Source organism: Homo sapiens, chromosome 11, assembly GCF_000001405.40.
Source record: "Homo sapiens chromosome 11, GRCh38.p14 Primary Assembly".
In the NCBI taxonomy this organism is placed as follows: Eukaryota; Metazoa; Chordata; class Mammalia; order Primates; family Hominidae; genus Homo; species Homo sapiens.
Genome location: NC_000011.10, coordinates 28,053,126 through 28,080,612, shown reverse-complemented (window position 1 = coordinate 28,080,612; position 27,487 = coordinate 28,053,126). Strand labels below are relative to the sequence as shown.

Genomic DNA, 27,487 nt, shown 5'->3' with positions numbered 1-27,487 from the left:
AGAGCACACACAACACTTGATTAAGTTTACTGTCTTATATGGGCACAATTTGTGACACTCTAAAGCAATTACAATGGTAACATCAAAGATCATTGGTCACAAATCACCATGACAGATATGTAATAATGAAAAAGTTTACAATATTTCAAGAATTGCCAAAATGTGACACTGAATGCTCATGCTGTAGGAAAAATGATGCTTATAGACTTGCTCACAGCAAGATTGCCACAAACCTTCAGTTTGTTTAAAAAAAAAAAAAAAAAACAGTGTCTGCAAAGCACAATAAAACAAGGTATGCCTGTATATATATTCTCAACTGAATTCAAGAAGTCAGTGATTTCTCTTTATATTTCACACTTTGTAGATCAAGTAATTTTAGTTTTTATTTTACATATATTGAAGAGAACCAGAACTTAGGTATAAGATAGTGGAGACAAAGCCAGTTATGTCACCCTGTAGACTTAGTTTAATTTTAGTGGCGCTCATATTGTTCTTTTCTGACATAATCATTATTTGTATATTTCATGTAAATCTACTCTATTCTTCATTTTATTAACTCTCTATAGCTTAACTAATCTACTTATTGAGCCTGAATGGGTAATTATTTGAATGAACATCTGTCAGTGATATAAACCAATACAGAATTTTGAGAGGTTTCTACTAAGCTTCTTAGCAGGTAAATTTTTAAAAAGAAAGCAGTTAGTAATACAGTATGCAAAAGTACTTTTTCCTCAAGCAGCTAAGACAGTTTTCCAAATTGACCCATTGAGACACTGGATCAAGATGTTAATCTTGAGTACTTCTAGGAGGACAATAAGGAATTCCTGTATAAACAAGTTTGGAAATTACTCCATAAGGAATCTAGGAAACTTCCAAAGTACATCAGCTTATTAAAGGGAAAACCTGTAGTAAAGGAATCTGTTCAACTTTCATTAAAATTGAGTAAAGGTAAACTTATTTGACATTCTGCAGAGCCAGTTATCTGTTATTAGTATGAGAAACCAACTACAACTTAAACCAATGGTTATTCATACTGTTTTGGAGCTCTAGAATTAGTAGAAAGTGTCTCAGTATCTATAAGGAAAACAAGATTATAGTCAAAAGTGGCTTTCAGACCTGATTCAGCTATAATTTTTTAAAATTGCATTTGTGTGTTGAAGTTTTACATAAAATATTTTACAGTATTTCTTAAGAAATAAGTAAAAATGATTTCTGGTTTTTCATCTCATCAAAGAAAACTTTTAACTCTGATATAGTATTATTAGTTGTTGTTATTTCATTTTGTTAGTTAAATGTGGGAGCGGTCCTCATGTAATTGGATATCTATTAGAATTCTCCAGCTTCTCAAATTTAGAGTAACTGATTCCATAAAATTGCTCAGCACTGCTTAACCAAGTCTACTATACCAATTAAAACCTTACAGATTAGTAAACTTTTCTGGAGTTGATGGCTTTAAATAATTGAACCTTTCTTTCTGGTAAGGCCCTCCTCTCAGGAGGGAAGGGCCTGAGCTATGAAATAAGTATTTATTTGGATGTTTTTCATATTTCAACCTGACTTTTGACCAACAATAAAAGCTTTGATTTTAATTCTGGCAATATGTTAAGTAACTTACTTGTATTTATGAAGAAGTTAATGATAAAAATTATGTACCAAATAACTTTTGTTATTTCCCCTAAAAATTACTGCCTTTTGAAATAAATGTATGAAATATCTTTTATTTTATCCATCATACTGTTACATGGGACTTTTTTAATGCCATGAATTTTCAAAGTGTCTTTTGTTATAAAACTTAAATAACATTTTTATGAAGTTTAAACAGATAAAAGGAAGAATCTGCAGTATTTTCTGTCTATCAGAGCTATTTGGAAAGGTAATTCTCAAAAGGAAATCATAAAAAGAAAACACAATTGTTCTTTTATAAAGAGTAATTATAAAACTTCACTTATGACTATACCAAGAAAATTGTGGAGTTTAATACTCATGTATTACCTAAAAATATTGGTGCAGATACTTTTAACTTGAATGTTTGCTTAGAACTCTTTCAGTTTTAAAACGATAGCTTTTTTTGGTGTTGTTAAGGAGCTCTCTAGAAACCTTTGATACCAATTCCCTTCCTTTCATCCTAATCAGTGAACACCACCACCTAAAATAAGTCTAGATCACAAAATTGACAAATATTAACTTTGTCCTTGAATAAAAAGTTATAGAAAAACTAAGAAATTATCTCTTTAAGTATAACCTAAAGATAACTTATCAATTCATTTACTGGCATTACCGTTGGTGTAATATAATGCAATGAAATCACAGTGTCTGTACATATTTCCTATGAAATATTTATCAGTTTGACAAAACTGCAGTAAAGTCAGTGTTTTGTGGCTTATATTCATTCCCAATAGAGTTTCATTAAGAGCTACTGACGTAAATTGGCAGTGTTTTTACCGCTGATCCTTATGAGTATATCTAAAATTCTGGCCAGTTTAGAACATTTTTTTTAAATGCATGTACTTGATTTTACTTTATTTTAAAGTCTTCACTGTTATGAATGTTTATACTGTTACTGTAGCTCAGAGCTGATCTATGACTTAAAACCATGAATATATTTTAAAAAATTAAAATATTACTGTGACCAGTGTTCTACTGACCCAGAAGGATACAGGATTGCAGGTTCCATCCAGAGTTTTCATAAAATTTAATCAGCTTGAAGTCTGTGGCCATTTGGAAATATGAATCAAACTCCTCATCTTTGATATTCTAGACCTACATTGCCCTTAGGAGGAAGCACACTGCAGCAGCTTTTCTAGGTTTACCACATTATAAACTTGGATGTTTTAAGTCCTGGAAGTGTCAGTTGATTCTTAGCCAGGCTGTAGGGGGTACCTAACCGTATGGTCTGTTTTCACTATAACAAATTCTGAAGCTAAAAACTGGCTCTGTCACTTTCCCTAGGGGGCCATGGAGGCACCATATGATTATGCCTCCTACTGCTTATTCCTTCACGGTGAGCCAACACCGTAACAACACATAATGCTGTGTTGCTAATAGGGCCTTGTGAATTTGGATAGTGCATGCCCAGGTTATCATCCTTTTCCAACAAACAAAAATTATTTTATTTTTGCTAAGCAATAGGATTACATATAGATGTAAGCATAGACAAAATGCAGTATGTTAGCAATACCAGACACCTTATGATGCCCATATCTTTCAGCAACATGATCTTCCTTGGGTGAGAAAGAAACCTAATGTAGTATAAGTAAAGTTAATAACTTTTTCTAAACATTTTTTATAATAGGAAATAGTCATTTTTACCTATTTGCTGTTTATCATTGAGTGTAGTTCTGTGAATTACATATATTCCTTTGTTTATGCATTTCTCTTAAGTAAACTTTGTATGATTTGCTACAAAATTAGTGAGATTCTGTAATGTGTTTTAATTTTGGTAGGTTTCAAGAAATCCTGAACTGCTTGTTCCAGAATCGAGAAGAAATTAGACAAGAATATCTGAAGTTGGAAATGTTACTTAAAGAAAATGAACTTAAATCATTCTACCAACAACAGTGCCATAAACAAATAGAAATGATGTGTTCTGAAGACAAAGTAGAAAAGGTAATTAACAATTTTATAATTAAATTTTAGAAAGTATAAAAACATGGGGGCTTTTTTTTTTTTTTTTTTTTCAGAAGGAGTCTCTTCTTCTGTTGCCCAAGCTGGAGTGCAGTGGCACAACCTCAGCTCACTGCAACCTCTGCCTTCCGGATTCAAGCAATTCTCCTGCCTCAGCCTCCCAGCTAGCTGGTATTACAAGCGTGCACCACTACGCCCAGCTAATTTTTGTATTTTTAGTAGAGATGATGTTTCACAATGTTGGCCATGCTAGTCTTGAACTCCTGACTTCAGGTGATCCATCCGCCTCAGCCTCCCAAAGTGCTGGGATTACAGGCTGAGCCACTGTGCCCGGCCTGGTGGCGGTGGTTCTAACTCTGGAAATTTTATAGTCAAGGCTACTTACTCACCCATTCTTTACAGACATCTGGAAATGTTGGAGAAAATGTAGCAAACATTTTTTAAAATACATAGTTAAGTGCACAAGAAAGAAATTTTAATTCCTGGATGTCAGTAACAAAAAGGAAATAAACAAAAACAACAGAATCTCAGTTACAACTGTTGTTTTTCTGGGCATTTTATGGAACTTTTAACACGAAGTTTACCCACTCAGGTTAGCCAGTTACTAAAGGTAGAGCAATAGAAGCAGTCTATCCTGGATGCAGGCAGTAGCTTACAACTTAGACCAACAGGAGATTTTTGTTGTCAGAGAAGAATTTTATCACTGAAATTGTTAGATGTGCCAGGGCAGGGGCCTAATGAAAAGCAGACCAAACATTTAATCAGTTTTACTATTTTTTTTAATACAATAATATACTGCCCTCTCCCTTCCAAACACAGACCACTCCCACTCTTCTAACTTTGATTACATCACTACTTAGATAAGAGACCCAAAGGAGACGGTGAGTTAGAAATGAGAGCTCCTATCTAAAGCCTGAAATTTCAGTGGCCTATATCCTTTATACTAGGGGTATACCAGGAAAAAAAAAATTCTTGCCAACCATCACTGTTGGCAAGGATGGTTGCTTTTCTTACCCCAAGTAACCATGCCTGGGGTAAGAAAAAAAAGTCATTTGAACACTACCATTATAGGCTTGCTTTTCACAATGATTGAGGTTTAAATTGTTACAACCCATGTATTTTGTATAGAAAACCCCTAAAGTTGGTCAATTACAATGCACATTATCAAACCAATGATACCACTAGAAAACCTGGCAGAAGCAATGCAAAAATCAGCCTCTTAAGAGAAACAGATTCTCAACTCTAGCCACTAATAAATTCAACTTTCAAAATTACAAAACAGATGGAGAAATAATTCACTCTAGACAAGATTCAGTACTCTTAGCAAATATGACAGAACTCCCAAATCTTTAGATACTAGAGCAATCTAATAGAAAATATAAGAATGAACAAAGATAAAGGAATCAAAGATAAAGACACCACAAAAAAAGAACTTTCAAATATGAGGTAAAAAACACATGAAACTTCCAGAAATTAAAAATTTATTCATTAAAATTAAAAACTCACCTTATTGATACAATATCAGAAAATGTTAAAGCACTTTACATATATTGACTCTTTTTAATTCTCAGAAAACCCCATGAAATATTTAGTAATATTATCCTAATAATCAATGAGGAAACCAAAATACAAGTCATTTTGTCCAAGGTGACACAGCTCCTAGGTGCTGAGTTCTGATTTGATCTGCAGCATGCCAGATCTAGAGCCTGTGCTCTTATGTTTATGCTTTTTTACATGAGCTGGGAGACAGATTTGAGAAAATTACACCAAATGCAGGATAAAGATAACACATGTGGACAAGATGTTGTATAAAGGATAGACTTCATGTAACAAGAAGAAAAGTCATACATGCATCTAATAGGCATTTCAGAAGGAGATATTTAGTGAAAAAGAGCAATATGCAAAAATTTGTGGTTGAGAATTATCTAGGACTAATAAGATGTAAATTCAAGAAGCATGAGTTCTAAGCAGTATAAGATAAATATATACCTAAACGTGTGAAACTACGGAGCACCAAAGATCAGAAAAATAAATATTTTGAAAATACTGACAATTCTCCCCAGTTTCGATATTCATTGGTGATGAGTTTATTTGTATTTTTATGTATTTTATGTAATTTAATTACATAGACATATGATGTTCAAATACTACTTATTAAAAAGCTTTATCTTATAAGTAACAACCCATTCCTCTCAAACTACCACCCCAAACATGTTTTCTTCTTTTCCTACTTTCACAGAAGTAATAATTATATAGAAAAATTTTGCATTTCTTAATGTCCAGAAGCTGTCAGATTTTAAAGAGTGCTTTTCAAAGCTAACATTTTAGATTTTTGTTAGCCTATGAAATGGGAAAGATACGCTGTACCGGAAATTAATCATAAAGCATTCAGTAATGTATCATTGATACCAGTTTGTCAGTAGCTATTAAACTATATTATCAAAATTAGTAATATATTTATTGAGTGTGTGCTTTTTATGCCTTAATGAAATTTTCTTTTCAATTTTGTGTTTTGAGATGCATTTAAGATGTTCCTTGCATTCTTTTAAGGCAGAAAGGAAACAATTTATTTCTTCGAATTTATATCTTGCTGCTATATTTGTACTTTCACTTTCATGAACTTCAAATTGTTGCCAATATTCTTTGATAAATGTAATGACTTCCAAATAACTATCTCATTGGATTAATTTATCAATTTGTTGTTGTGAACTTCTTTCATATGGTTGCTGAACAGAATTCTGGAATAGTACCATATTATATAAGAATTATATATTTTATTTCAAATTTTTAAGATGTTTTTCTTCTTTTCTTTATTTTTTATGTTTATTTTATTTTATTTTTGGAGATAAGGTCTCACTCCACAACTCACACAAACCTCCCAAGTAGCTCAGACTCCCAAGTAGCTGAGACTACAGGTGTCCACCACCATGCCTGGTTTATTTCAATTATTAGCACTTATATTACATAGTAATCTTCAGTGGGTAATAATTCTTCTCAGTTTTGTGTAGATTATATAAGTGTCAATTATTTGAATGTGCAGTTATCTAAGATTTACTTTTTGACAAAAGGCAAGAAATGCAGCCATAGGAAGCTGATATTGACTTAACATCTCAACTTTAACGAAACTCTTATTGAACACTTGTTTACATGTAAAACCCTTGTGCTTGACACAATGGAGGTAAAGAAAGAGAAGTGTTTGTCCTTCAATTATTTACATACTAGTTGGAGCAATAAAAATAATAAAAATGATAAGGCACTATATGCTTGTCATATAAATAGTAATAATAAAAACAGCTGATATTGAACGCTATTTGCCAGACATTTTTCAAAGTTTTTTGCATGGATTAATTAATTTAGTATTTATAACAAGCCTATGAGATAGATCTAATATTATCACCATTTGTGAGGAACAGAGGCACTGAGAACTCAAGTAGGTTGTCTGGAGTTACTTACCTAATTAATGTGGCTGAACCAATATTAAACCCCAGCTGTCTGGCTTCAGAGCCTGCACTCTTAATCACTCTGCTATATTCTAAGTACCGTGAATGCTATAGCTATTCAGAAAAGTAAGCAGTGACTTCCTATTTTTAGTAAGAAGGCTTCCTGGTGGAAAGATGAGATTTGTACTGGGCCTTGCATTTCTATACATATTGTCCAACAAATGTGACTTGCTCTGCTGAGTTTGACCAGAGCAGGTCACATTTGTTGGACAATACGTGTAGAAATGCATAACTATACTCAAAACTTCGTGCCAATTCCCACTCCCTTACCCACAGCAAATTTCACTGATCTGTGGCCATACCTTCTCTCAGAATTTGAAAGTAGCCAGAACCACAATGAATGGACTGGAGTTGGCACATGATGTTAAACATATTTGCCATGTTAGGAATTATTAACAATAGATTGGGAAGGTAGGATATTGGTATAGATTGTGAAATTGTTGGTTGCTAGGAGTCTAAAATCTATTTTTGTAGCCAAAATGCAGTCTTTCAAGCAAGGGAGTAGCATTATCAAAACTTTGAGTTCCATTTTTTAAACACTTGAATATTATTATTTAGTATAATTAATGAGCTTGGACTATGTAATCCCAAAGTAATTTAGATAATTGTTATTTTACTGTCTTAATTCCTCCATTGAATTTTGAATGTGGTTATCTAGAAAGATTAAGACATAGAGTAATAGAATGGGTTTGACTGGTTTTATGGTTTTGTTTTTTTTTTTTCTGTTTTCATCCTTATTTTTCTGCACAGTAGCTTAGACTTTTTTCAACCCAATTGCCTTTTCTGATCTCTTACTTTTGGTCATTTCAATCCTCAGGTTCCCAATTATCATAGCTATTCTTATGAGACTAGGTAAGCAGTGGAGATAAAAACTCTTGAGTTATTGGGTGTAGTTAACCCACTGAAAAACATAGGAAGACATCTAGAGGTTGATTCGTTTTGTTTTTACACAGAAGTGTCAAACTGTAGTATGAGTAAACTGCTTTTCTAAGGCAAGGAATTTTATGTTTTGGATTCTCTCCAATAGAGGTTTGTTATCAGAAGTGCTGAAAGAATCTCATAACATCGATTCAGCTATAAATAGTTCTGGAGTATGGATTTTGAAATTACTATTAAAGGGAAGCTCCTGGGTAATTTCATGACCCCATAAAAATAATCTGTAAGATTGTTTTTAATGTAAAAATATGAATTTACCATATTAGCAATTATTTTACACAAAGCAGTAGTAACAACTAAAATTGTAGAATTATGTTTGTTCTCTCGCAAGACTTTTGTGGTGTGCAGGGGATTTTGTTAATGAAATATGTAAAGCTTTTTTAAAACTTAATGGGAAACATTTCACTCTAATGTCAGGGTTTAACATGCATATTTTAGAATGTATTCCCAAACACTTACTTGCCATTTTAGAGCAATGGGTGGTGGTAGTATTCTGATGGAAAATGTCCTCTGAGAACCATCACAGAGGATACATTTGATGGACATTAGAAGTAAAAAGTCATAAATGGACTTTTTGAGGTTTCATTTAGGATTTTCTGATATTAAATATTGCTGCCACCAGACCCACATGCCCTGGTTTCTAAGAGTCCCTACGACTGTAAATGCTAAAGCAAAATAAAGATGATTTAATTAGCTGCCTGCCTTCAGTTAGGTACAATATTTTCATCTTCATTTTTCAGACGAAGTAACTGAAGACCCACTAAAATCTGTTTGCCTAAATTTTTACATCTGCTGAATAGCAGAGAAAAGTCAATAGGTCACACCTCCCACCTTCTGTTATAGCAGTGGCTCTAAACTTCAAGTTTCAGGACCCCTTTCTGCTTTTAAAAATTATTTAGGACTTCAAAGAGCTTTTGTTTATATGTATTCCCTCTACCAATATTTCTATATTAGAAATTAAAACAGATTTATAAAAATATATTTATGCATTGATTCATTTTAAAATAAATAATATTAAATAATAGCTTAATTGTAAATAATAAAAATTATATTAATAAAATATAATAAATAGCAATAAATTATAAATAATTAAATGTTAAATAATAATTAAAATAAAAATTATGTGTGGTTACATAAATAATTTTATTTTCTCAAAAATAGTGAAAATAGAAGAGTGGCGTTGTTTTACATGTTTGCAAATTTCTTTAATGCCTGGCTTTTCATATCAGCTCTATTCTCATAACTGCTGAATTGTTATTCTGTTGTGATGTTACACATCATTTAGCCTCTAGAAAACTACTGTGCAACTAACTGTATGAGCAAACAAGAATTTTAAAAGACTAATAACATTTTCCTGATATTATAAAAATGGTTTTGATAGTTTTAACCTTGTGAACTCTCTGAAAGGATCTCAGGAATCCTTAGGGGTCCCTGTACCATGCTTGGGTAACCTTTGCATGATAGCATTCTTTTTTTAGTTTTTGCTGTCAGGGTCTCACTTTGTTGCCTAGGCTAGAGTGCAGTGGCACAATCATGCAGTCATGGCTCACTGCACTGCAGCCTCAACCTCCCGGACTCAAGTGATGCTCCCACATCAGCCCCTCCACCCCACCAAGTAGCTGGAACTACAGGCACATGCCACGAAACCAGCCTAAATTTATTTTTTAATTTTTGTGTGGAGACACGGTCTCTCTATGTTGTCCAGGATGGTCTTGCACTTCTGGCCTCAAGCAGTCCTCCTGCCTCAGCCTCCCAAAGTGCTAGAATTACTGGCATGAGCCACCATCCCAGCCTGCATTGTAGCATTCTGTCACAATTCTCATCCTAGCGCTGTGGTCAGTTTGATGGGTTACATTTTGTTTTGTTTTCTCTTCTTGACTATCCAGGTTTTTGTTTCTTTGAGACATTTGTTTTGTTTTTGTTACTGTCTTACTGTGACAGACAGAGACTAGGATATTATAATTAACCAGAGAAGCCATAAAAAAGAGTCAGGAACCTTAGTGAGAATGACGGTGGCTATCAACTATTTTTCCCTTATCTATGACTCTAGCCTGAAATGGAATCTGCTTCTCTCTGACTCTTGTATTTCCCTTGAGGGGAAGGTAAGTAAAATTTTATGAATATCTAAGATTTGGTTATGACTTCATGATAGCCACCTTTGCCTGACCTTAAATCATTTATAAGCTCATATCCTCTATCCAGATGAAGATAACCATATTTTTCTATTATATGCCCAAGTCTCAATAGTACATCTTTTGTCAAAATTAAGAGATATTTATCTCCCAAAGAGGGGGAGTTCTTCGACCAAATTCAAATCTAGTTTCTGCTCTTCTTTTTTTTGATTTCCTGCTTCCAGAACCAGCTGCAAATGCTTATTTTAACCTTTGGGGATCCACTGTTTCAGGTCTACCCATCCTATCTGATAATTATTGACTTTAGTGTCTGTGGGCAAATACCCCAGAGACGTCAAGATGTTCTGGCCCATTGTTTTCATGATAGTGTGCAAGACCCTTAGGGTAAGAAATCAAAGACTAATTTTAATTTCAATTTGTGCCTAGGTAAAACACCAAAAATATTTTGAATACTCATTATGGCTCCTGAACCAAGCTACAGGCAAGATCAGATACTGATAAGCACTCTGATATAAGCTCTTTTTTCTGTGATTTATATCAGCCAATTTGAGGCCTTATAGGCAAACACAGAACAATAGAACACATTATTTCTTCACATCAAAGACAAGAGCAATATATGCATCTGCTTTGATTTTGAGTAAGGAGATCATGGAATGTATCTGACCTTGTATGAACTTTTCAAATGAAACATACTGAAGGGACTGTACTTTAACGCCAAAAAAAAAAAAAGTTATAGTCTTTGATTTGGTCGTTGTATTTCTTAAAGCCATAAACTCTCAACCTGTAATTTTATAAAAATGACTCACAGCTCAATTTCCTATTTTCTTGCAAGCAGTAGTATTCTGAGATTTCAAGGGGGAAATAGCTTTAAATACAAAAATGTAGCCTAACTTAATTTACTACAATAGTACACATAAGAAAATATACTAGTTTACTAATATCATGTACATCAAATATCATAAAAATTAGATTTACTGTTAAATGAATCGTGTTTCAGGCCACTGGAAAACGAGATCATAGACTTGCAATGTTGAAAACTCGTCGCTCCTACCTGGAGAAAAGGAGGGAGGAGGAATTGAAGCAATTTGATGAGAATACTAATTGGCTCCATCGTGTCGAAAAAGAAATGGGACTCTTAAGTCAAAACGGTCATATTCCAAAGGTACAAATATCTCTGTATGTTCAGATTTAATTTGTAGGAACTGAGCTCCTAAAATGTGTTCTTTTTCTTATTGAGTAAATGTCTTTCATAAGACAACTATTATTGCCTCATAACTCTGAGATTTAATTTACTTTTAAATGTTATTTCTAAGTGATTGCATCCTTTTATAAGGTAGCTTTTAGGTTAAAATAAACAATTCTATTTCAACCTGCACTTGAGGATTCATTATGTAGGTAATTTGTTTGAAATCTTGATATTTTATGCAAAAATAGTTTAAATGAGGTCAACATTAAATGTGTTATGGTTAAAGAAAGTTGATTTGAAAGGGGGTGTGTGTGTGTAACTGAAGATATTCCACCTTAGAATGGCAAAAGGTTTTATTTTTGAAGTGTAGTGATGGGTAATGACAGTATCATATTAGAATTATGTTCTGCTACAAGGTTGCAGTAGTCTAACTTTAGTGCCTTAACTAGTGTGGGCTGTCTTTTGTTCTCTTAACAATAAGTCTTGGAAGTATGCAGTTCATTTCTAATGCAGTACCTTTAAAATGTCATTATCGTGCTTGTCGTTTCATGATTGTAATATTACTGTTTCATATCTAGTCTCAAGTTTACACACCTAAGCCAGAAGAAGAGGAAAGAAAGGAGGAGGGATGTCTATATCAGGAGAGCAAAGATGTTTCCAAAAATTCCTAACAGACTAATGTATTGGCTAGAAATATGTCACATGGCTATCTGTAGATAGAAGACACTCTGAAAAGATTGTCTTTTTTTTTTTTTGCATAATTACTCTGAACAGTATTGGAGCTCCCTTTTTTTTTTTTTTAACTTTAAGTTCTGGGATACATATGCAGAATGTGCAGGTTTGTTACATAGGTATAGATGTGCTGTGGTGGTTTGCTGCACCTATCAACTCGTCATCTATGTTTTAAGCCCGGCATGCATTAGGTATTTGTCCTAATGCTCTCCCTCCCCTTGCCCCCTACCCCTGACAGCCTCTGGCATGTGATGTTCCCCTCCCTGTGTCCATGTGTTCTCATTGTTCAACTCCCACTTGTGAGTGAGAACGTGCAGTGTTTAGTTTTCTGTTCCTGTGTTAGTTTGCTGAGAATGATGGCTTCCAGCTTCATCCATGTCCCTGCAAAGGACGTGAACTCATTCTTTTTTATGGCTGCATAGTATTGCATGGTATATATGTGCAATATACCTTTTCTTTATCCAGCCTATCATTGATGGGCATTTGGGTTGGTTTCAAGTCTTTGCTATTGTAAATAGCACTGCAATAAACATATGTGTGCATGTGTCTTTATAGTAGAATAATTTATAATCCTTTGAGTATATACCCAGTAATGGGATTGGAGATCTCTTAATAAGAAAGAAGAAGAAAGTAAATGTGGGCTAAGCAACTAGGAGCAACTGCTATGAAATAACTAATTTTCACCCAAATACTTAATAGTTTAAAAGAACAACTTCTTTTCAGTCTTTTTCTAAAAGAAAAAATATCTACAGTCTCTACTTTGGTGATGCTCTTCTGAAATTCTATAACTCTGTATCAGCTAATTGATATGGAAACTTCTAAAATCTTTGAATTCCTAGAAAGGCACCAGACAGAAAATACAGGTGAAGGAAAATATGAAATATTTACCAACAAATGCCAGAGATCTTTAAATGTTCAAAAGTACTAATTTTTTTATAATTCAAAGATACTAGTCAATGCATTATGACTGGGGAATGGATTCTCTGATGGGCTAGCAATGGCTGTAAATGATTATTCTGTTAATATGGAAGCTCAGACATGACTGGAGAGAAAAGACTAGCAGTAGTAGTTAATGATGACAGTTCAAAGTAGTGAAAGGAGCAAGCAGCAGATATCCTGTTTCCTAAGAAGGAAACCAAAGACAGTATTTCCTTATTGTGGATATTTATTGAGCCAACAATTTAATCTGCACCTCAAAATATCTTGATAAAAGCATACCAGTCAGTTAGTTAAGTAGATTAGGACATTAAACATAGAATACAGCACATTCTAGTAATATTTTGCAATAATATAACTTAGTTTGTAAGGCACTTTAAAATATTCCCCACAAAAATAATGTAAACATTGGGAAAAGGATAGACTTTGGAGTTGGAGTGTTTGGTAATTCTGGCATATAGTAGTTGTTTTGAATAACAACTCTAACAATAATTATATGACTTTGGACAGTGTGTTTAACATTGATGTCTTAATTTGTCATCTGTAAATGTATTTAAGATATTATGAGCTTAAGTGGAGTGCTACATTCAAAACCTAGCAACACTTAACAAATAATAATGGATGATAAATAATAGTTTAATACTATTCTAAGCAACAATAGCATAGACATCAATATCCAAGCAAGTTGTACAAAGAAAAGTGTACATAGTTAACAACAGAGTTAACTGCATCATATAATATAATATAATATAATATAATATAATATAATATAATATAATATAATTTCTCTTCCAGAACAATGATTCTGACCTTTTTGGGGGTCATAGATGCCTTTGAGAATCTGTTCAAAGCTGTGTAGATTTTCTTCCAGCTGGGAGATTGGGGAGGTCAAATTTATACAATTTTGCATATTTCCTAAGTCATTGGGTTTCCTAAAGCCCTTCCATTGACACAAGATTAAGAATATCTACTTCAGAAGGAAACTATAGCACGTTTTTTTTAAACGTTGTGTCCATCTTAAGATGATATAATGACTCAAAAGGAGTAAGCAAAAAAAGACAAGATTCATTAATAAACTATAATATAAGTTAGCTAGGATCAGAGGATATAACTTCTGAAATTCCATATAAAGCCATAGAGGCTCATCATAGAATGCAACAGGCTCTATCACAGTGCCTGTAGGAATACTGAAATATGGTTATGTTGTTGATAAAATCACTTCAAAGAAAACAGCTGGATAACCCTGGCCAAATGAGTGTTTCTCATTTAATACACAAGAGTTGATTCTCTTGGATTGGTAGCAGGTGTGGAATGTTGACAGTACTTTTCAGTTTATTTCACTTATTATTTAATAGTTTATTTGGAGACTGTATATCTAAAGCAGTCATATTCTCAAGATTATCATTTTCTAAACTACATAAAACTAAGTCTTTTGGTTAGTATTAAACTTTGACCTCATTTAAAATTAACTACTGAAGCTTCCTTAATTTGTTTGTTTACTTATGGCTGTGATATTCTCATAGATTATTTACCCCTTATAGTTGGCAAAAATTTTCTCAAGAAGAGTCTTGAAACAATTTTTTGTGTGTAGTAAAATATAAAATAAAATTTACCATCTTAACCATGTGTACATATACAGTTCAGTGGCATTAAGTATATTCATTAAAAATTTTAAATATGTTTGTGTATATAAGTTTTAAATGATATTGCTAGAGTATTTTCACCTCTCAAGATCCTAACTTAATTTACATTATGCTTGTATTATATGTTTGTCCATGTAATCAGCATTCCAACTACAGAAGTACTAAGAACTTATGAAGTATTAAGCAGGCAAAAAAGTCGATTGTAGAAATTTACTAGTTTGCCTTTTCTATCCCACATTACCGTAAGCTTCCAATTTTAAAAATGGTATGGTATTGTTTCTGATATCATTATTATCGCTATTTTGTGTTTGCTTTTTTGTCTACTTAGTAGTGTTTATGAAGTTAATCAATATTGTCTGGATTTTTAATAAATTAAAACTTTTTCAATATGGTCAAATCTAATTTTTCTAGCAATCTGTCTTCTAGATTTCTCTTACGAAGAACTTTTGTACACCTGAATGTGAACCTGGAATTGATTTTTGTATCTTTGATTTTTATGCATTTTATCACAAATAACTTGAGCAAATAAAATTAAAACCATTTTCATTGCCATCACCCAAATCTAACCCTCAATTCTTTTTTGTGCAGATATTTATAGCTGAAAAAATAGCTGAGAAAATTATCTAGTTATAAGCCATTATTTTTTACATAAGCAAATTGAGACATAACTTTACGATAAAGGGACTTATCCAAGGTCACACAACTCTGGACAGATACCCAGAACTTCTGACTTTCAAATTGGTGCTGTTTTCTCTGTACTCTCCTGCATTATTTACTCTTCAATATTCTGAATCTATCCACTTCTCTTTATGCCCCTCTGCTGCTATCCTAATGCAGACTCCTATGCCCCATTATTGGACTGCTACGTTTGGTCCTTCTGCTTTCGTTCATGTTCTACTGCAATTCATTCTCTCCACTGCAACCAAAGCAAGTTTTTAAAACGCAAAACTGATCTTGTTGTTCTTCACTGCCTTCTCCCTAGAATAAATTCTCCATTGTGATTTACCAAGCCTAGCATGGTCTGGCACCTGAATACTTCTCAAGGCTTGTATATCACCTTTCATTATACTCTATACTTTAGCCATTACTGGCCTACTTATAGTTCTCAAAATAAGCCATGTTCTTCCAATCAGATTTAGTCATTAGTATGTCAAGAAAGACTTAAATTGTAAACTTGATTTTCCAAAGTTAACAGGCTAGCCAAAGACCCATTATTACTAATACAATTATACAATCAAGTCTTGTCTCTTTAAAAGAATGACTCAAGAAGATAAAGGAATAAGATTATCAGAGGATGTATATAAAGGAGGGATTGTTTTTTCTTTATACTTTAAGTTTTAGGGTACATGAGCACAACATGTAGGTTTGTTACATAGGTATACATGTACCATATTGGTTTGCTGCACCCATCAATTCATCATTTACATTAGGTATTTCTCCTAATGCTATAAGGAGAGATTTTTTTAAAGGAAAAAAGATGCAATATGTGGCAAACATGTTCACACTATTATGATCATCCAATTTTCTAACTAGTAATAGAAAGAACTGAAGAGATCATCTGATCCAGCTCTTAAATTTTAGTCAAGTAAACTGATCTCCATAAAGGGCATATATTTGGCTTAAGGTGACATTTGTTTCAAGGCTAAGCCCGTCTCTAAAATCACATGACTCTAGCCGTATCGTCCTGCCTCCATAAAGATAAATTTTTTTCTAAAACATTTGCTATATTTCTTGAAGTATAATGAATTATATAAATAACTCCTAACTTTAATATATAAATATACTATATTTCTTGAAGTATAATGAATTATATAAATAACTCCTAAATTTAATATATCCTAACTTTAATATATATAAATAACTCCTAACTTTAATATATAAATAGGATGAGTGACATTGTTCTCTGTCATAGTCTCAATAACTGGCATTGGAAGTACTTTCTAAAAAGGAGAAAAATAACTTTGACATTTTAGAAAATTATTGGTCAACTGCAGATTGGAAAGGAGTTTTATTAAATTTGATTTATTAAAATTATTTTATTAAAATTGATTTAATCTTAATATTCTTTAAAAGAATCTGAAGAATACTTTGCATTGTTTCCACTCGCTAAAGCTAAGATGGATTATGAGAATTGTCCCTAGGAGGAAGTTTCCAGTTTCCAGGCATAGCTCCCCTGCATATGGGGTTCCTGTCTTAGCCATTCAAAATGTCCAAAGAATTTAAATTTTTTTCATTGTATTGTTTGAAATTTTTCCAATAAAATTTCTGAGAATGTTACTAGATTATCACCATTTATACTTTGGTGTAATCCCTTCGCTGATATATTCTGTAGATAAGGTTTAGTAGGTTTAAGGAAAGACAAGTAACTTTAGGTGGTAGATTACAGGACACCTGGCCCTAGACAGATGAGGCTTAGGAAAATGGAGCCTGCAAAAAAACATTTTCACACTTTTGCCTAGGATGGAGCTAATATCAAGAGTGGGTCTCAAGTCTTGTCTCTTTAAAAGAAGAAAGATTCAAGAAGATAAAGGAGATTATGAGAGGATGTATATAAAGGATATTTTTCTTTTAAAGGAGAACAGACGTAATATTTGGCAAACATGTTCACACTATTAGGATCATTTAATTTTCTAACTGGAAAGGACTGAAGAGATCATCTGATCCAGCTCTTAAATTTTAGTCCAGTAAACTGATCTCCATAAAGGCTGTATATTCAACTTAAGGTAGCATTTGTTTCAAGGCCTTATAAGCCCATCTCTAAAATCACATGACTCATAGGCCAGTGCTCTAACCATGTCATCCAACCAAAGGTGATATCAACCATATGATCTTTTGTTTCATGCAAAAACAGAAATTTTTATTGCACACAACTCAAGACTTTGTACACTGGGGCTTTAACACTGAACTAACCTGACTCGGTGCCTGTCCTGGTGGTAAACTATATGTTCTGGTGTGAACAGAGAAATTATAAATAAATGAATACATCAATGAAATTGTTACTCATCAATAGAGTAAATGCTATGACAATATTGAGGGGTGGAGAGTGTCTATCCAAATACAATGCTCAAGGAAAGCCTTTCTGAGGAAGTGACATTTAAGCAAAAACTGGTCATATTTATGTATTTTTACAACATTGTGAACAAGTTGGATAGACCAAGAAGCTGTCATCATAGTAAAATTTCTTCTGAATTCCTAACATTCAGTTTCTGAGGAAACATGAAAACTTATCTTGCTTGTAAATTATAGACCACCTTTTCCAGAACTCTTATTTTTCAAATTGTTTCTAAACATATTATTTAATATCTAAAAAGAATTAAAACTATTGGCAACAATATAAAATTATTAAACTGATTTAATTTCAATATTCTTAGAGTGATCTGAAGTACATTTTGTATTGTTTGCCCTAGGAACTCAAGAAAGATCTTCATTGTCACCATTTGCACCTCCAGAACAAAGATTTGAAAGCACAAATTAGACATATGATGGATCTAGCTTGTCTTCAGGAACAGCAACACAGGCAGACTGAAGCGTGAGTACATACATTTACCTATTTTCCAATTTTAACACTATATCTGAAGCACAGAAGTTCAATTTTCCACTGCCAGAAAGTTGAGTTTTATGTGTTACAGGATACATTATTTTTAAGTGTCTGTCTGAACCAGAAAACATTAAGAGAGTTATTTCCTTCCAACAAAGTTTTTACATTGGTTTATAAATTTGAAAGTGTTTTTCTTTAAAAGTATGTTACTTTTACTTAATATATGCTATGTAATACAAAATTTCATAAGTACCTACACACATTGAAAAGAAATCTGCCTTCTACCTCTATCTTCTAGCCATCCATTTCTCCACTTAGAAGCAATTGCTGTTAACATCACTTGAATTTTTAAGTAGGCAATTGTTAATTATTCATAATTCCAGAATTTTTTGCTGTCATTACAGTGAAGTTGCTAAATATCAGGTGTCCTGATTTTTATGTGATGCTATAACAGACCTTTTATGTTCTCTCTTCTAGCTCAGTAGTAACATTAGTCATTTAGTTTTTAAAACATAATAATAAAAAGTATGGCTTAATCTTTTTTTTGTCACATTGGATACGTCAGTCAACTCCTTAGGCATCACTTTGATGTTCCATGCAAATGGGATATTTATTTCTCTAAGTGCTTTCTGCTACTCTAAGAATCTATTCATGTTCTACTGGTATGCTCAAATAACTGATAATTATCTTGATTTAGAGGAAATCATATTAGTATAGCTTTTTTTAAAAAAGAAAAATGAAAAACTTCAGGGAGTTACTCTTATGTGGATGGAAGTTCAGACTAATCTCTTTATACTTTCTGTGTCTATTCCTAGAGCAGATATTGAATATTCATTTACTAACACTCAAACCACTTACAAGAGCTGAAGTCATCAAGAAACAATAATTTCTTTTAACCATATTACATTTGCTATATCAGACCCCAGATGAATATACTATCTTAAGATAAACATTTACCTTAAAATGGGGGGAAAAAGACTAACTCAACAATTTAGAAAACTGGTGAACCAGAGGATCACAGAGGAAATGTAGCATAGAAGAAAGAGGATGAGTTTTGGAATCAATCTTGAATTCTAGCTTATATGAGCAATATAACCTTACGCTGATTATTTAGCTTTGCTAAGCTATAGTTTTCTTATATAAAAATAGATTATAATACAGTTCATATAAAGGTTATGAATAGATTATAATACATTTCATATAAAGTTTTTGAAAAGATTAAACATAAAAATAAATAACATGATATAATTCCTGTGTTATAGGTGCCTAGGACTACTTTCAGGTTCAGTGATTCATTAGGAGGACTCACAGGACTCATCAGATAGTTGTATTCTTAGCTGTGCTTTATTTCAGCAAGAGGCTACAAAGCACATTCGGCAAAGGGAAAAGGTACAGGGCGCAAAGTCTGCAGGAACCCTGACACAGAGTTTCAAGAGTCTTCCTCCAGTGGAATCACACAGAATGTGCACAATTCCTCCAGCAAAAAGTTGTGGCAGCACATGTGAAATGTTCTCTGCTTTGGAAGCTCTTTTGAGTTCCATGTCCCAGGTTTTTATTGGGAGCTGGTTGCATAGGCACTTTCTGCCAGGATGTATCAAAATTCCAGACTTTTCAAAAGGAGAGAAGGTGTTTTAGCATAAACCACATTGTTTGTGCAAACAGTTTAAGCACAGTGAGCCACTCTTGTCATATGAGTTCTGGAAATGCTGGGAACCCTCCTAAAATCCATATTTTAAAATACCAGCCAGGTATCAACCTTATAACCAAGCCTTTCTTAGCAGTGTCAGACCTACTATGATAACTTTCCTGCACAGTACCTGATTAGTGTAGATGCTAAATAAGTAATTGTTTAAATGACTTTGATTAATAACTTTTTCTTGTACTTGTTACCTACTTGACTTAAATGCAGCACCCTCCAGCCACCCCCACCAAAAGGAAAAAGGTCACAATTTCTTGTGCTGCTATTGAAATATTTAAGACTTGTAGGTTAAAAGGTGGTATTTCTTTGTGTATGAAAGTGAATGCCCGATTAGTCTTTTCCCACTACCCTATCCATACTTCTAATGGTTCTCTTCTCCTCGATGTTATGAGTCAACTGGAACATCATCTATTGATGGACTCAGGATTCCAGGACTGAATCATTTCAAGATCATTCATGTTGTTAGACATATTTCTTTATAGAAAATTTGGGAACCACTGATTGAGTGTATAAATTTATAACTGTTTAGCTGTGACATTTCTTCAATGAACACTTACACAGAGGTCTGATACACAAAAAATTACATTCGGTGCTGCTGTAATTGTTGCTAATAAGGGAGATTTTGAGTTAAAGCCGTGAATCCAGTGCCCTAACGATTATTTATACTCCCCATCCTTATCCACAACTTTTCTCCTTAAAATCCCTTTAAGTGCCATTCCAAAAGCCATTTCTTTAGGTCATTTAACTTAAAGGAGAGGTAGGTTTTGTTATTTTGTTATGTGTTTGTGTGTGTGTGTGTGTTTTAATGTTGTATACCTAAAATATGTCTCATCATTTCACATAGTATATTAATTTTTCATTTCAATTTTATGATAATTAGTAGCAGTAACAACATCTGTAGTTTGGAAATCACATTATGTTTTGCAAAAAGCTTTTATGTACATTTAATTCATTTAGCTAGGGACAGTGGCTCATCCCTGTAATCCCAGCACTTTGGGAGGTGGAGGCAAGAAGATCTCTTGAGGCTAAGTGTTTGAGACCAACCTGGACAACATAGCAAGACCCCATCTCTACCAAAAAATAAAAAAATTAGTCAGTGTAGTGGCACACATCTGTGGTCCCAGCAACTTGGGAGCCTAAGGTGGGAGGATCAAGTGAGGCCAGGAGTTCGAGGCTGCAATGAGATGATCATGCCACTACACTCCAGCCTGGGCCACAGAGTGAGACCCTGTCTCTAAAAAATAAATAAACAAATATACTTAACTCATTTAGCCCTCAAAGCAATCTCCTATTATAAGTAGTGGCTATTTATCTGTCCCTCACATTACAGAGGAAAAACTTCAGTTTTTGCCTTGTCCAAGGTCATATGGAAGCAAGTGAAGACAATCTGAGACTAGAACTCAGTTCATACATGGGAAATTATTTTAATGATATGCTAATGCTTTGGGTGTTACATAAAAGAACTAAAATAATGTGTTTAAAATGTCATATTTATCTCTCCTTTCTTCTCATCTTCTGTATATAGAGTATTGAATGCTTTACTTCCAACCCTAAGAAAACAATATTGCACATTAAAAGAAGCCGGCCTGTCAAATGCTGCTTTTGAATCTGACTTCAAAGAGATCGAACATTTGGTAGAGAGGAAAAAAGTGGTAGTTTGGGCTGACCAAACTGCCGAACAACCAAAGCAAAACGATCTACCAGGGATTTCTGTTCTTATGACCTTTCCACAACTTGGACCAGTTCAGCCTATTCCTTGTTGTAAGTATAACTTTCGTTTTAAGTAAATAGTAACATTATTTCTAAAGAGAACCTTTGTATATCAATCTATAGAACAGTTAATTTTAATAGGTTTGTCTATTTTATGAAAATTAATGGGAAAATTAGCTTTATAGTCATTTCAATTAACCAGTATCTTCCAAAGATCTAGAACAAGTATGCATTGATGTTCTATATAACTCTAGCAGTAAAATTCATTTTACAACTCTTTTCTTTTTTTTTTTTTTTTTTTTTTTTTTTTTTTTGGTGACAGGGTCTCACCCTGTTGCCCAGCCTGGAGTCCAGTGGTGCAATCAAAGCTTGCTGCAGCCTCCACCTCCTGGGCTCTAGCAATCCTTCCACTTCAGCCCCACAAGTAGCTAGGAATTACAGGCATGCACCACCACTCCTGGCTTTTTTTTTTTTTTTTTTTTTTTTTCCTGTAGAAACAAAGTATCACTGTTACCCAGGCTGACCTCAAACTCCTGGGCTCAAGCAGTTGTCTCCCCTGGCCTCCCAAATTGCTGAGATTATAGGCATGAGCTGCTGTGCCTAACCCATTTTATCTATTTTTGATGGAACAATTTTGCTTCCCATCCTTCTTTAAAATGTAACCTCTATTAAGGGCAGGAAATTATAATTAATCATATCATATTTTATGATAATAATCTGTTCTTAAGATCAACTAACAGTGTAGAGTTTACTATTTTTCTATTGACAAATCACTTGATATTTCTCTTTCTCTCATAAAAGTATGTGTGAGACATTTTAATTGCAAAGCTAACATATAATCTTAGTTAAGAAAAAAATTCAGACAATGTAGAAGAAAAGAAGTAGACTGCCACCTTCAACTCTTCTCAGAACCTCAATTTTATGCCCTATCTCAGAGATTAAATGCTGTTAAATATTTATCTTTGCAGTATGTGTGTAATACACATGTATTACATAAAGCTTTTTGTTAGGTTTCACGTGAATGCTAGCACATTACACATAGTGACCTGCAACTTTTTTGTTTAGTTTATTATGTTTATTGGTTTTATTTGTTTATTATGAACATTTTTAGGGTGCATACATGAAGAATCTACCTCATTTTTTTATTGTTTTTGAGAATCCAGAGAATAGATGTACCATAATTTAATTAACCTTTTTTCTATTAGTGAACAGTACATCAGAGAACACATCTGTGTATTCACATTTGTGCGTGCATAGCAGAATCCTAGAAGCTGATTTGCCAGGTTAAAGGACATATCATTTTTTTTTTAATGCATCATGTTAAACTGCTTTTCATAATTTTTTTCTGTACTTAGTACCCATGAGAGTAACTGTTTCATCTTTACCTAAACCAAAAATAGTAACAACAGCAATAATAATGCATAGTCTTTTTTGTTTTGTTTTTTTTGTTTTGTTTTGTTTTGAGACCGAGTCTCGCTCTGTCACCCAGGCTGGAGTGCAGTGGCGCGATCTCTGCTCACTGCAAGCTCCGTCTCCTGGGTTCACACCATTCTCCTGCCTCAGCCTCCAAAGAAGCTGGGACTACAGGTGCCCGCCATCATGCCTGGCTAATTTTTTGCATTTTTAGTAGAGACAGAGTTTCACCATGTTAGCCAGGATGGTCTCAATCTCCTGACCTCGTGATCCATCCACCTCGGCCTCCCAAAGTGCTGGGATTACAGGCGTGAGCCACCGCGCCCAGCTGCATAGTCTTTTAAAATGTGTAACTCTCAGATTATCGATGAGGCCAATTCATCCCCTGTCAGGTATCCTTTGCTCATTCACACTAGTGGAAATTTTTGTTTATTTGTTATGGGTTTGAGGGGCTTTTTGTTTGCTTGGTTTTTTACTTGGCACTTCGTATCTAATAACTCTTTGTTCATTTGGTGCTGCTTTTTTTTATATATATGTTGAGCAATAATTGATCAATTTATTGGACTTTTAACTTTTATATAGTCAAATCTGCCTATATTTTCCATTATGGGGAATTTTCTTGGGATCTGGTGTTTATTAGCCCCTCACTCCCAACTAGAGTCCATTTTTCTTATGTGAGCTAAATGTGTGCTGGGACATTTGGCTCAAATGTGTCCCAGCACACATTTAGCTCACCTAAGACAAATAGACAAATAGTTGGGAGTGAAGGGCTAATATGTAAGACCTTATTCACAGAGAATAATAGTCTGTTGAAGTCAGATTTTATGTTAAGTGTTGCCCCTCTGAATACAATCTGTCTTCTGGCTTATTGAAATATTTCCTCAGTCTTTGGCTTGTAATAGTTTTATTATGTTATGCCTAGTTGACTTTATTTTTACTTCTCTTAAGTGGGTTCCTGACTTTCTGAATTTGTTTCTGCATTATCTTTTGTTTGTTTTGGAAAATTCTTAACCATTATCTCCTCACCTATTGCTTTTGTCACTTTTGCTCTCTCCTCTACTTCTGGGACTCCAATTATATTGCATGGCACTTTCCCATTGTATTGTCTATGCCCTTTACTCTTTTGCTTTTAATGTTTTTTTCTCTTCCTGGATAATTTTGTTTCTCACATTCTTCAGTTTACTTTCTTTTTTCAGCTTTATCAAATGATCCTTAAATCCATAAAATTTTTAATTTCAGTCGCTATATTTCCAATTCTGGAATTTCCATTTTATTCTTTTTTATAGTTTCATATCTTTGCAAAAATTGTTATTAAGCACAAAGGGTATAATTATAGTCAGCCATCCATATTCCATGGGTTCTGCATCCATGGATTCAACCAACTAATCAAAAAAAAAAAAAACATGGATGGTTTCATCTGTACTGAACATATAGACTTTTTTTGGTCATTATTCCCTGAACAATGCATCATAACTATTTACATAGTATATATATATAGTATTAGGTATTGTAAGTAATCTAGAGATTATTAAAGCATATGGGAGGATTGTATAGGTTGTGTGCAAATGCTGTATTATTTTATATATAAAGGATATGAGCATCCATGAATTTTAGTATGGTCATGCAACCTATCCCTCACAGATACTGAGAGACAACTATAATTTAAAGTCTGTGTCTGAGAATTCCAAAGTCTGTAACCACTGGATCTGTTTAGACTGATTTTCTTGCATGTGGTCTTAATTCCTCATATGCATGCAAATTTTTTGTGTGCCAGTCAGGTATTTGCAAAATTATTTGCAGAATATTTTGATGCATCTGATCATGATATTAAATATCTCAGAGAATATTTACAGTTCCTTCTTTCATATTCTAGGTAGCATTAGCAATTCAGAATCACCTCAGTCCTATTTCAGAGACTGAGGTAATTTGATACTAAACTGTAGTTTCCTGAGGTCCTGCCTATTTCTGATTTGCCCTCTACAGTATAGCTGTTCAGAGTCCCAACTCAAAGCAAGGAAGATTTACAAAGATCCTAAATTCCAGTTCCAGCACCCTATTCCCCCAAAGCTCTTAGCACTGTTGCTATGCTTTTCTGCCAGCTCTTCCAGCATAAGCAAACAACCTCAAGGGGAAATTAGCTGAAATTGCAGAAATTACTTTCCTGAGCCTCCAGCTTCCTCCTGATACTCACCTGTAATTTTTCACCATCTTATTAATAATCCAGTGCCTTCAAACAGATGTTTTTTATATTTTGTCCAGACTTTTAGTTGCCTTCAGAAGAAAGGTTGGTCTGAGTTATCTCCATCTTTATTATTAGCAGAAGTTCCCTATATTATACCTTTACATTAAGAAAATACGGAAGTTGGATAGATTATCTTAAAACATATATATTGTATATACACATATGTATTCTTTTTCTTTTAATAAAGCATTAGACCTGACCTAGTTGTGATCTCTGGAAAGCAAAACTTAAGTTTTTTTCAGATTCTCTCATACCTTTCGGGCATGATTCATTTTTTATAATGTACTCAAGATGTTAGAAAGGAAATAGGATTTTAACACCAAGATTGAGAAATACTGACCACCTGCTATATGATGCTCATTATTCCTTATTTAAAAATCTATATTTCACATACAGTATAATTGCACAGACTATACTTGTCAACAATAAAACAAAAGAATTTACTTGACTCTTAATTCCTTCTCATGATATTTTTGAAGGAAAGACTTGAAGCCATGTTACATTTTATAATTAACGTGTTTTCTCTTGAACACATATTAGAAGGTGAGTTTTGTTTTTATAATGTTTTGTTCTTGGTTCGTTACTTTACTATTTCATTCAAATGATTTTAGAGATCAACTATTTATTTATTATGTATTTTCCATTTCATGAATTATGTATGTTGTATACATGACTAATAGTGTCAAGGAGGAATAATAGGAACGGTGTTTATAAGTGAGTTCAAGTGCCTTAGGGACCTTTAAAAGTATTTACTAGATTAACTATATTCTTTTTACTTAAATACACACACATGCAGTGCTTTTAAGAATCTGGGCCAGGGACAGTGGCTTACGCCTGCAATCCCAGTATTTTGGGAGACTGACGCAGGCCGATCGCTTGAGTCAGGAGTTCAAGACCAGCCTGAGCAACAGGGCGAAACCCTGTCTCTACAAAAAATACAAAACTTGGCAAGGCATTGTGGCCCATGCCTGTAATCCTAGCTACTTGGGAGGCTGAACTGGGAGGAACACTTCAGCTTGGGAAGTTGAGGCTGCAGTGAGCCGAGATTGCACCATTGCACTTCAGCCTAGGCAACAAAGCAAGACTCTGTCTCAAAAAAAAAAAAAAAATCTGATGAGATTAACTATAATGAATATAGTCTATATTGTTGGGCATTTGGGTTGTTTAATAAATTTTCACTATTATTGCCAATAATGTTTTAGTAAGCAAATATGTATATTTATCTTTGTGCTCATATCTGACTATCCCTACAATAAATTCTTAGAAGTAAAATTTCTGGCTCAAGATAAATGCCCATTATGCAAAATTTGAAATATATATTGCCAAATAACTCTCCTCCTTCAAGTGATTTAACCCCCATCAAGCAGTATAAATGAAGGAGCTTTTTTTTTTTTTTTAGCCTCACCAGCTTTTGATGTTAAAATATTTTTAATTTCTACCTTTAGTAAATCAATTACAAACATGTATATAAGCACAAAGAATACTATGAGTACCATGTGCCCAACACCTAACTTTAAAACTTATCAGCTCATGTCTAGTCTTGAAAACCCATCTGCTTTCCTCCACCCCAGCTCTTACACTAGATTATTTTAAAGTAGATCTCGGAGAACACATGGACACAGGAAGGGGAACATCATACACTGGGGCCTGTTATGGGGTGGGGGAAAGGGGGGAGGGATAGCATTAGGAGGTATACCTAATGTTAAATGACAAGTTAATGGGTGCAGCACACCAACATGGCACATGTATACATATGTAACTAACCTGCACGTTGTGCACATGTACCCTAAAACTTAAAGTATAATTAAAAAATAAATAAATAATAAAATTAAAAAAAGATTAGGATTCATTTAGTTGTAGCTTGCAGGCCAAAGCTGATTCACTATCTGTTTTTTATGTCCCATGTGCCAAGATTTTTTTTTTCACATTTGTATATGACTGGAAAAAATTAGAAAAATATTTTGTGACACCTGATAATTATAAAACATTCAAATTTCAGTGTTAATAAATAAAGTTTTATTTCAAAAAACAAAACAAAAAAAAGTAGATCTCAGACAGCACATCATTTCTTCCATTTACATCAAGTGTGTATAAAAGAAAAATGTCATCAAATATCTAATGTGTGCAAATTTCCCCCATTGTCTCATAAATTATTTGTTTCTATGATTTGTTTGAATTAAGATACAAACAAGGTTC

The 27,487-nt window shown here is 33.5% G+C and overlaps 1 protein-coding gene and 1 non-coding gene across 4 annotated transcripts in view; one reads left to right on the top strand and one right to left on the bottom strand.

Annotated features, from left to right (window-relative positions):
- The window catches only part of KIF18A (kinesin family member 18A), an 87,538-nt gene that overhangs the window by 27,544 nt on the left and 32,507 nt on the right, over nt 1–27,487 (top strand). For all 3 annotated transcript variants that reach the window (NM_031217.4, XM_017018379.2, XM_017018380.2), the window contains 4 exons: nt 3,444–3,606; nt 11,190–11,354; nt 18,097–18,218; nt 21,452–21,687. In NM_031217.4, the coding sequence (NP_112494.3) occupies nt 3,444–3,606; nt 11,190–11,354; nt 18,097–18,218; nt 21,452–21,687 (686 nt within the window). The remainder of the gene's footprint in view (nt 1–3,443; nt 3,607–11,189; nt 11,355–18,096; nt 18,219–21,451; nt 21,688–27,487) is intronic.
- Nucleotides 23,703–23,798, bottom strand: MIR610 (microRNA 610). Its single transcript, NR_030341.1, has one exon. It is a non-coding gene; the product is annotated as a microRNA 610 (primary transcript).